Source organism: Homo sapiens, chromosome 1 (assembly GCF_000001405.40).
Source record: "Homo sapiens chromosome 1, GRCh38.p14 Primary Assembly".
Lineage (NCBI taxonomy): Eukaryota > Metazoa > Chordata > Mammalia > Primates > Hominidae > Homo > Homo sapiens.
Genome location: NC_000001.11, coordinates 197,106,661 through 197,118,937, shown reverse-complemented (window position 1 = coordinate 197,118,937; position 12,277 = coordinate 197,106,661). Strand labels below are relative to the sequence as shown.

The window sequence follows — 12,277 nt, the reverse complement described above, 5'->3', positions numbered from 1 at the left end:
CAGACATCCCTGCCATAAGTTATTCCTTCCCACCAGAGGAAATAGTTCATTTTCTAGTCTCCAATTCCAGTGAAGTAAATTGAGAAATCTAGTATTGGACAGTATAGCAAAGTTACTTTAAAGCCAAACTGCCTGATTCGTATCCTGGCTATATTACCAATAAACTAACAAGCTAATTGACCTCATTGCCTCAGTTTTCTAGTGATCGTAAGAGTAGTATTTGCTCATTTGTTCTTATGGTGGTGGTTGTGAGATTTAAATGGATTGTTCATGAAGTGTTCAGAATGGTGCTGGACATAGAATATGTTATTATTTACAGCAATTTATTATCAGAAGTAACAAGTAGAGATATGGGGGGTATTGCCTTCTAACATAACTAGGGAGCTGGGTCCTCTTTGACCACAAATGTTGGGCATCTCAGATACCACTTCTCATAGCCCAAACTATACTTTTTCCTCTTCAGCTTGTATGACCTAAGGCCACAATGTATTCTGTGCTAAAGGAGGAGGTATTTTGTTTCTCCCCTTTAGTGTTTTGCTTTGTTCAAATTGTTACAATTCTCTAACACATTCTTTTTTTCATACAATCCTCCCCTTTCCTAAAAGTTAATCATGAATTCAGTGGACCTGAATCTGAGAAACATACCACATTACACTTCAAATGGCCTTTATCTTGATTACTGAGGATCTGTGATAGATCAAACATGTCTAATCTTTATCTTAGACTATTTCTTAGGAATCTTTGTTTCATCATACAAAATATCTGCAAGCCCACCTATCAGCGCTTTCGACATGCCTGGAATTATCAGTATTCCAAAGATGAACACAAGAAGTGTAGGGGTGTTTTATTTCCAGTATCAATTTGATTGGTGTTTAACATATGGTTATCTTACAAAGAATAATTTAAGGTCTTAAGTGAGTGTTTAATTTACATTTGCTGACTTTTTTATTTTAGGAGAGAGAGAAAGCTGCAAGAATTATTCAATTGGCTGTAATCAATTTTCTAGCAAAACAAAGATTGAGAAAAAGAGTTAATGCAGCACTCGTCATTCAGAAATATTGGCGAAGAGTCTTAGCACAGAGAAAATTATTAATGTTAAAAAAGGAAAAGCTGGAAAAAGTTCAAAATAAAGCAGCATCACTTATTCAGGTATAGTATCCTGGACTAATTTTTGAATTTAAAAAATTTTAATGACTTTTTTAAGTAAGAAGGCAAAATGTGATGAAGTTTTCAATGATTATATTTTAGGATTCTTTATCTAATACTTAATTTAACAAATATTTACTACCTGAAAAGCTCGTTATGGTGTTCAGCAGAAGGCTGAAACATAATTGAAATGCATTTGCTCTGAAAAAGCAAACATTCTAATTCTGTACCTGTTGCTCTCTTCTTTGTTGCGTCTTCTACGCTGTGGGACATGCTGGCCTACTGAACCATTCTACTTTGTAGATCCACATAACCAACCAGGTTCTTTTTTATCTTTGCTTTGAGTCCTGGAAACTTCTCTTTGGGACAACTGTACACATTTTTCTCTCTACTCCACTTAGTTGGCATGTAAAGGAAATAGTACTTATAATTAGTCTATAGAATACCTATATTATTTTTCTTTTTAGGAAAAAATATATAATACTGACTTAATATAGTCTTTACATCTATGTAAATTAGTTTTTTTATATTAAATTATATTTTAATGACATGAGAGATGTGCATTATTTAAATTTACTATTTATAAATGCCATTGAAGCTTCACCCCATCAATATATCTGATTTATGAATTTGAAAGTTTTTGTGTCTGGCTACCATTATTGATAAATGAGGGTTCTCTGACTTAAATAATTGTCTTTTTTAACCTTTTTTTAACATGTAAAATATTACACATAGAAAATTACCCAAAATAAAAATATAGAGCCTAATGATTTTTCACAAAATAAATGCCAATGTAAAACCACCTAGGCCAAGAAATAGAATATTGCCAGTGTAGCAAAAGGCATTTTTCAATTAACTCTCCCATCCCAGCTCAAGCTAACCATTATGCTAATCATGCCATTTTCCTAAGTGTTTTCTTTAAACACAATAATTTAGTTTCGCTTACTTTTTGAATTGTTACAGGTGAGTTCAAACCATATGAATTCTTTGATTTGATATTATTACATTTTTTGAGATTTATCAGCGTTGAGTATAGCCGTGGTTTAATTTTTTTATTTCGTATTCTGCACTATACTTAATCTGTTCTATTTTTGATGAACATTTGGCTTTCCAGTTTTGAGCTATTATGATTAAAGGTATTATGAACATGTCTTTTGGTGTGAAATGTATTCAGTCTCTTCAATTGTACTAGGAGTACAATTGTTCTTAAGGCATATAGGCATACCTCGTTTTATTGCTCTTTGCATTATTGTGCTTTGCAGCTATTGAGTGTTTTACGAACTGAAGGTTTGTGGCAACCCTGTGTTAAGCAAGTCTGCAACACTTTTTCCAACAGGATATGCTCACTTTGTGTTTGTGTCATAGTTTGGTAATTCTCAAAATATTTCAAACTTTTTCATTAGTACTACATCTATTATGGTAATGTGAGATTAATGATCTTTGATAGGAAGTGTGAGTGGTCTAGATAGAAGATGAAACCAGCCACAACATTCCCATAAGCCAAAGCCTAATCCAGAGAAGGCCCAAACTCTATTCAGTTCTACGAAGGTTGACAGAAGTAAGGAAGCTGCAAAAATTTTGAAGCTAGCAGAGAATGATTCATGAGATTTAAGGAAATAAGCTGTTCCCATAACATAAAAGTGCAAGATAAAGCAGCAAGTGCTGATGTAGAAGCTGCAGTAAGTTATCCAGAAGATCTAGCTAAGATCATTAATAAAAGTGGCTACACTAAACAAAAGTTTTCAATCTAGACAAAACAGACTTCTATTAAAAGAAGATGCCATCTAGGACTTTTGCATCTAGAAAGGGGAAATCAATTTCTAGCTTCAAAGATTCAAAGGAGAGTTTTACTCTCTTATTAGGGGCTAATGCAACTGGTGACTTTAAGTTGAAGCCAGTGCTTATTTATCCTTCTGAAAATCCTAGGACCCTTAAGAATTATGCTAAATATACTCTGACTGTACACTATAAATGGAACAACAAAGTCTGGATAACAGCACATTTGTTTATAGCAGGGTTTACTGAATATTCTAAGTCCGTTGTTGAGACCTACTACACAGAAAAGAAGATTCCTTTTAAAATATTACTGTTAATTGACAGTACTCCTGGTCATGGACATGGACAAGGAGAGGAATGTTGTTTTCATGCCTGCTAACACAACATCCATTCTGTAGTCCATGGATAAAAATTAATTTGAGTTTTAAGTTGTATTATTTAAGAAACACATTTTTGTAAGGCTATGGATGCAATATATAGTGATTCCTTTGATGGGTCTGGGTAAAGTAAATTGAAAACCTTCTGGAAAGGATTCATCATTTTAGGTGCCATCAAAAACATTCATGATTCGTAGGAGGAGGTCAAAATATCAACATTAACAGGAGTTTGGAACAAGTTGATTCCAACCAACTTTTATGGATGACTTCGATGGGTTAAAGATTTCGTTGGAGGAAGTAACTGCAGATGTGGTAGAAATATCAAGAGAACTAGAATTAGAAGTGGTGCCTGAAGGTGTGCCGAATTGCAGCAATCTCATGATATAAGCTGAACAGATGAGGAGGTGCTTCTTACAGATAAGCAAACAAAGTAGTTTCTTGAAATGGGATCTACTCCTGGTAGCCAAGTGTGGTAGCTCATTCCTATAATCTCAACAACTTGGGAGGCTGAGGTGGGAGGATGGCTTGAGGCTAGGAGTTCGAGATCAGCCTGGGCAACAAAGTGAGACCCCATTTAAAAATAAAAATAAGCTGGGCATGATGGCTCATGCCTGTAATCCCAAGCGCTTTGGGAGGCTGAGGCAGGCAGATCACATGAGGTCAGGAGTTTGAGACCAGTCTGGCCAACGTGGAGAAACACTGTCTCCACTAAAAATACAGAAATTAGCTAGGCATGGGGGTGCATGCCTGTAATCCCAGCTACTTGGGAGGCTGAGGCAGGCAAATCCCTTGAACCTGGGAGGTGGAGGTTGCAGTGAGCCGAGATCACGTCATTGCACTTCAGCCTTGGTGACAGAGCGAGACTCCGTCTCAAAAATAAAAAAAATAAATAAAATAACTAGCCAAGTGTGGTGGCACACATCCATAGTCCCAGCTACTCAGGAAGCTGAGGTGGGAGGATCCCTTGAGCCTGGAAATTCAAGGCAGCAGTGAGCCATTATTGCACCACTGCACTCCAGCCTGGATGACACAGTGAGACCCTAACTGTTTAAAAAAAAATGTACTTTTTGTAAAATTTAAAACAGTATATAAATTTAGTTGACAAAGCAGCAGCGGGCTTTGAGAGGATTGACCCCAATTTTAAAAGAATCTCTACTTTGGGTAAAACGCTAATAAGTGGCATTGTATGCTATGGAGCAATCTTTTCTGAATAAGGAGTCAATCAATGCAGTAAAACTTCATTGTTGTCTTATTTTTAAAAAATTGCCAAAGCCACCTACAATAACTACCATTCTGATCAGTCAGCAGCCACCAACATTAAGGTAAGACCCTCCACTAGCAAAAAGATTACAATTTGCTGAAGGCTCACATGGTTCTTAGCATTTTTTAGCAATTTAGTATTTTTAAATTTAGGTATGTACCTTGTAGTGTTTTAGACACAATGGTTTTGCACACTTAATAGACTGCAGTATAGTGTAAAGATAACTTCGGTATGTATTGGGAAACCAAAAAAATTGTGTGACTCACTTTATTGTAATATTTGCTTTATTGTGGTGGTCTGGAACTGAACCTACAATATCTTCGAGATATGCCTGTATATATTTCAACTATCCAAGAGTTTTTTAAAGTACTTGTAAAGATTTAAAACCCACCAGGTGTTTATGACCATTCACATGACTCCATGTCTACATTAACATTTGGAAATTGTCTTTTTAATTTTAGCCATTCTGGTGATTGTGTAGTAGTATTCAGAGTAGTTTTAATTTGATTTTTCTTCATTAATGATGTTGAACAACTTTTCCATTTTGGAAATCTTTTGTGAAGTATTATTTTGAGCATCTTTTAAAACTGTTGCCTTCTTGTGGATTTATAAAAGAGCGTTATACTATGATTGTTATTAGGCCTCTATTTGGTATGTGTGTTGTGTCTTCTCCCAGGCTATAACTTACTGTTTTATATCTTACTAATGAAATTTCTTGTTTTTCTTTTATTGTTAGTATTTTTTGTGTATTATATAAGGAGTGTTTCTTTATCTTCTTTATCTTAAGGCCTTGTAGATGTATGCCTATGTTATACTCTACAAGCATTAATGTTTTGTCTTCCTCATTTTGATCTCACCTAAAACTAATTTTTAGATGATTTGTTTTAGAGGACATTTAAAAAATATATGGCTATCCAGTTGTTTCAGCATGTTTTACTGAAATGACCATCCTTGCCCTTTTGCCATGCTACCTTCAGTATACATTATATATTCTTTTTTTGTTTCTTCTACTTCTATTTTAGATTCTGGGTATATGTGAGCAGATATGTTACATGGGTAAATTGCATGTCATTAAGCCTTAGTGTACAAATGATCCTGTCACCCAGGTATTGAGCATAGTACCTGATAATCTTCCAACCCACACTTCCCTCTGACTTGCGCTCATCAAGCAGTCCCGGTGTCTATTGTTCCCATCTTTGTGTCCATATGTATTCAGTGTTTAGCTCCCACTTATAAGTGAGAATATGTAATATTTGGTTTTCTGTTCCTGTGTTACATCACTTAGGATAATGGCCTCCAGCTAAATGCACATTACTGCAAAGGACATAATTTTTTTTATGGCTGCATGGTATTCCATGGTGCTTATGTGCTACATTTCCTTTTTTTGAAAATTACCTTTTATTTTAGGTTTAGGGGTACATTTGCAGGTTTGTTATATGAACCCCCAAAATTTGAGTCAGGTCTCAGTTAATTTAGAAAGTTTATTTTGCCAGAGTTGAGGATGTGCACCCATTACACTGCATCAGGAAGTCTTGACATGTGCCCAAGGCAGTCGGGGCACAGCTTGGTTTTATACATTTTAGGGAGACATGAGACATCAATCAATATATGTAAGAAGTACATTGGTTTAGTCTGGAAAGTCAGGATAACTTGAGACAAAGGCAGGAAGACCCAAAGCAGGGAGGGGGCTTCCAGGTCAGATAGGTGAGAGACAAACAGTTGCATTCTTTCAAATTTCTGATTAGCCTTTCCAAAGGAGGCATCAGATATGCATTTACCTCAGTGAGCACAGGGGTAGCTGAATAGAATGGGAGACAGGTTTGCCCTAAACAGTTTCCAGCTTGAGTTTTTCTTTAAGCTTAGTGATTTGGGGGGCCCAATATATTTTTCTGTCACAGTTATATAGGTAGACTTGTGTCATGGGGGTTTGTTGTACAGATTATTTTGTCACCCAAGTATTAAGCCTAGTACCCATTAGTTATTTTTCCTGATCCTTTCCCTCCTCCCACCCTTCACTCTCCAATAGGCCCCACTGTGTGTTGTTTCCCTCTGTGTGTCCATGTTTTCTCATCATTTAGCTCCCACTTATAAGTAAGAACATGCAGTGTTTGGTTTTCTGTTCCCGTGTTAGTTTGCTAAGGATAATGGCCTCCAGCTCCATCCATGTCCCTGCAAAGGACGTGATTTCATTCTTTCTTGTGGCTGCATTGTATTCCATGGTATATATGTACCGCATTTTCTTCATCCAGTCTGTCATTGATGGACATTTAGGTTGATTCCATGTCTTTGCTATTGTGAATATTGCTGCAGTGAACATCACGCATGCTTCTTTATGATTGAACAATTTATATTCCTTTGGGTAAATACCCATTAATGGGATTGCTGGGTTGAATGGTATTTCTGCTTTTAGGCCTTTGAGAAATCACCACACTGTCTTCCACAATGGTTGAGCTAATTTATACTCCCACCAACAGTGTATAAGCATTCCTTTTTCTCTACAACCTCACCAGCATCTGACTTTTTGACTTTTTAGTAATAGCCATTATGATTGATGTGAGATAGTATCTTATTGTGGCTTTGATTTGCATTTCTATAATGATCAGTGATGTTGACCTTTTTCCATATGATTGTTGGCTGCATGTATGTCTCCAGTGTGTGTGTACCACATTTTCTTTATCCAGTCCACTGTTGATGGACGTCTTGGTTGATTCCATGTCTTTGCTATTGTGAATTAGTTCTGCGATGAACATATGAATCCATGTGTCTTTTTGGTAGAATGATTTATTTTCTTTGGGTATATACCCCGTAGTGGGTTTTCTGGATCAAATGGAAGTTCTGTTTTAAGTTCTTTGAAAAATCTCCAAATTGATTTTCAAAGTAGCCGAACTAATTTACATTTCCACCAGGAGTATATAAGTGTTCTCTTTTCTCTGTAATCTTGCCAGCATCTGTTTTTTGACTTTTTAAAAACAGCCATCTTGACGGGTGAGATGGTATCTCACTGTGGTTCTGATTTGTATTTTTCTGATGTTTAGTGGTGATGGGCATTTTTTCATAGATTTCTTGGCCGCATGTGTGTCTTCCTTTGAGAGGTGTGTATGTCCTTTGCCCATTTTTTAGTGGGGTTATTTGTTTTTTGTTTTTTGAATTAAGTTCCTTATAGATACTGAATATTAGACCTTTGTTAGATACATTGTTTGCAAATATTTTCTCCCATTCTGTAGGTTGTCTGTTTATTCTGTTGATAGTTTATTTTGCTGTGCAGAATCTCTTTAGTTTAATTAGGTCCCATTTGTCAATTATGTTTTTTGTTGCAATTGCTTTTGGGGACTTTGTTATAAATTCTTTCCCAAGGCTGATATCCGGAGTAGTATTTCCTAGGTTTTCTTCTAGGGTTTTTATTGGTTTGGGTCTTACATTTAAGTCTTTAATCCATCTTGCATTAATTTTTTGTATGTGGTGAAAGGAAAGCGTCCAATTTTAATCTTCTGCACTGACCGTTTATTGAATAGCATATCCTTTCCCCATTGTTTGTTATTGTCAACTATGTCAAAGATCAGGTGGTTTTAGGTATGTGGTTTTATTTTTGGGTTCTCTACCCTTTTCTATTTGTGTAGTAGACATCAGCTATTCTTATATGTGTGATTCTGTTTCTAGTATTTCTTTCTATTCAATTGGTCCATTTGTCTATCTTTGAGCCTCGCACTGTAGCAGTAGGTGAAATCTGGATATCTAGTAGGTAATCCTCCTTCTTTGTTAGTGATTTCACACAATTTCTCCCAATCTGCAGCTTGTCTTTTTATTCTTGTAACAGGGCTTTTTGTTCAGCAGAAGTAGTTCATTTTATTGGAATCCAGTTATCACTTTTCTTCTTTTATGGATTATGCTTTTAGCGTCATATCAAAGTACTCTAAAAGTTTTATAATTTTTCATTCTAAATTTTGACCTATGATGTATTTTGTGTTAGTTCTCCTCTAAGGTAAGGGTTAGGTCAATGTTCACTTTTTTTATATATACATGTCCAATTATTCCAACACTATTTGCTGTAAAAAACTATTCTTTCCACATTGAAATGTCTTTGCACCTTTGTCATAAATCAGTTGGTCATATGTGTGTTGATCTTCTGGACTGTATTCTGTTTCATTAATACATGTGTCTATACCTTCATCAATACCACAGTTTCTTGATTACTGCAGCTTTATAGTAAGCCTTAATGGATATTGTGATTCGTCCAATTTTATTCTTTTTTCAAAATGAGTTGGAATTTTCTAGTTGCTTTGTCTTTCCATTTAAGTTTTAGGTTAGTTTTTCTATGTCCTCAAAAAATACTGTCAAATTTTGATTGAAATTGCATCACATTTACAGATATTTTGAGGTACACTGACAACTTTACTATGTTGATTATTCTGATTCATAAAGGTGATACATATCTCCATTTATTTAGATCTTTGAGTTGTTCATCATCAGCTTTTTGTTAGATTCATACCTCAGTATCTTATTTTATTTTGGAGCTATTATAAATAGTATTGCTTTTTAATTTCAGTTCCCATTTGTTTCTTTTTTATAAACATTCATCCTTATATGTTAACCCTTTAACATATAAAAGGGTTAACTATTAATCCTGTTAAAAAAACTCACTTATTTCTATGAAGTTTTTATGTTTGTTTTTGTTTTAGATTCTTTGAGATTTTCTACATAGTCGTGTTGTCTGCCTTTCTTTCCAATCTAAATATTCTTTCTATTTTTTATTTCCCCCACTTATTTTATTGGCTAAGAATTCCAGTATGATGCTAAATAGGAGTGGTAAGATTCAATATCTTTGCCTTGTTCACGCATTAAGTATTATATAAACTGTAGTTTTCTTGTAGATGCCCTTTATCAGGTTGAAGGAGTCTCTGTTTCTTAGCTTACTGAGAGTTTTATCACATAGATTTGGGTTTCATTAAATACTTTTTCTGCTTCAATGGATATATTAACATTTATTGGGTTTCTAATCTTACTGTAAACTTACATTCCAAGGATAAAATTCAAATATTAGTTATGTATTTTTTATATGCATTGATATTTCATTAATTCCACTTGCTAGTATTTTATTGAAGAGTTTTGCATCTGTGTAATGAGTTGGGAAGTTTCAGCGTTCTTTTATGTTTTCTGGAAGAGATTGTTGACATGTTATTATTTTGTCTTTAATTATTTTATACAACTCACCAGTGATACTATCTTAGAGTGGAAATTTCTATTTTATTTTATTTTTTTCCTCTTTTTTTACTTGACATAATTGTGCATATTCATAAAGCACATAGTGATGTTTTGATACATATACTGTATAGCGATCACATTAGGACAATTAGCATATTCATCATCTCAAACATTCTTCTCTGGACTTTTTTTTTTTTTTTTTTTTTTGGAGACAGGGTCTTGCTCTGTCGCCCAGGCTAGAGTACAGTGGTGCAAACACAGCTCACTGCAGCCTCAATCTCCTAGGCTCAAGCCATCATCCCACCTCAGCCTCCCAAGTAGCTGAGACTACAGGCATGTACCACCACACTCAACTAATTTTTGTATTTTTTGTGGAGATAGGGTCTCACTAAATTCCCCAGGCTGGTCTCGAACTCCTGGGCTCTAGTCATCCTCCTGCCTTGGCCTCCTAAAGTGCTAGGAATACAGGTGTGAGCTACTACACCTTGCCAGATTCTGTTTTTTAAATTTGTATAGGACTATTTATCTTTGATGAGTTTTGGCAGTTTCTAATTTTCGAAGAATTGGTCCATTTCATCCAAGTTGTTGAATTTACCATATGTATATACAAAGTATATCTTTAATATCCTTTTGATGCCTGGGTAGTCTGTAGTGATATTCCCTTTTTCATTCCTGATATTGATAATTTGTATCTTCTCTTTTCTTCTTTGTCAGTCTTGCTAGAGTTTTAACTCTCTTGATCTTTTCAGTGGACAACCCTTTGGCTTCATTGGTCTCTGCTCAGTCTTTATTATTTCTTGTTTTGATTAATTTTGCTTTTCTGTCTATAGTTTCTTTAAGTATAATCTTGAGTAACTGATTTGAGTCCTTCCACTTTTAATGTAACACATTAATGGTATAAATTTTCTTCTAAATACAGGTTTAGCCACATACTACAAATTTTGATATGGTATTTTTTTTTCATTCAGTTCAAATAGTTTTTAATTTCTCTTGAGGCTTTTTCTATGATTTAAAGTTTCAGAATATGTTATTTACTTTCTAAATGTTTGGAGATTTTCCTATTATTTTTCTGTTAGTGACTTTTTCTTCAATTCCATTATGACCAGAGCACATACTGTGATTTCAATTCTTTCCTATTTGATAACCTTTAGTTTATGATCCACAATATGGTCTATCATGGTCAGAGGTTGGTATATCTGCAGGCCAAATTTGGCCTACCATGTGTTTTTATAAATAGAGTTTTTTAGAATATGGTCACAACTATTTGTTTATGTATTATTTGGGAGCTGCTTTTGTACTACAATAGCATAATTGACTTGTTGCAACAGAATTGGCCCACAAAGCTGAGATATTTGCCATCTTGGCTGTCATCTCCATTCTGCTATTGTGCCATACCAGTGAATTTTTATTTTGGTTAGTGTGTTTTTCGGTTCTACTATTCTCACTTGGTTCTTACTCATATCTTTGATGTCTTTACTGAGACTTTTTATCTTTCCATTAGTTTCAACTTGTTGTAGCATTTTTACTTTATCTGCTCTAAAGTCGTTGTCAGTTAATTCCAATTCCAGTATCTTTGTCATCTCATCATTGGTGTCTATTGATTATCTTTTCTTGTGAGAGTTGAAATTTTTCTGTTATGTTGTATGTCAAATAATTTTTAATTGCATTCTGGAAATTTAATGTTATGTTATCAGACTCTATGTTTTGTTTAAATCCTATGGAGAATGTTGATATTTTAGTTTTAGCAGCTAATTCACTTGATTGGGTTCAGGCCACCTGTTCTCATCAGCCTTCCATGAGCGTAGCTTCAGTGACAGTTCCTTTTTGAAAGCCTTTACAGTGAGTGATATTTGTATCATATCAGTTTCATTATGTAACACCCAGTAGCCAGTCTGGGATCTAGATTGTGATCTGTATCTTATTCAATTCTTAAAGTCTATAGCCTACTGTGGTCTAGATTCACATTGTGCACAACTTGGTGGTGAACCTAGAAATTCATAAACAACATTATCAGATTGCTTCCCTGAGCTCCCCAGTCTCTACCATCTCCCTGGTACCCTCTAGTTCCTCAGGGCTGCCTTGTTTCATCATCTGACCAGAAAACTGAAGATTGAGTTACACTGCTCTACTGCATTCTTTCCATGACTGCGCCCATATCTCAAGCAGAGAAACTCTTTTGTATGAGGAAAAACAAAGTATGGCACAGGTTATAGTTACTGGGAGAGATGAAGAATTGGGCTGTTAATGCACTCAACCTGCTGCAGATATCTGTGGTAGAGTAGAAAGAACATTTGATTTTGGTGTAATAATGTAGATCCTAAGATCAATTATTTTTATTTGCTGTGGGACTTTGCAAAAAGTTTTGTAACATTAGTGTTCCTTTCTTTAAGTGAAGAAACAATGCCAACTTAATGTATTTTTGTGAGAATTAAGTGAGAAAATTGTATGTAATGTGTTCCTTAGTAAAAGCTATTTATTTTTAAGAATTGTATGACAATGGTGAAAAAATTGCTATTGT

General features: G+C 34.9%; 1 protein-coding gene across 2 annotated transcripts in view; it reads left to right on the top strand.

Annotated features, from left to right (window-relative positions):
• Nucleotides 1-12,277, top strand: part of ASPM (assembly factor for spindle microtubules) — a 62,543-nt gene that overhangs the window by 27,732 nt on the left and 22,534 nt on the right. For both annotated transcript variants that reach the window (NM_001206846.2, NM_018136.5), the window contains exon 17: nucleotides 955-1,149. In NM_001206846.2, the coding sequence (NP_001193775.1) occupies nucleotides 955-1,149 (195 nt within the window). The remainder of the gene's footprint in view (nucleotides 1-954; nucleotides 1,150-12,277) is intronic.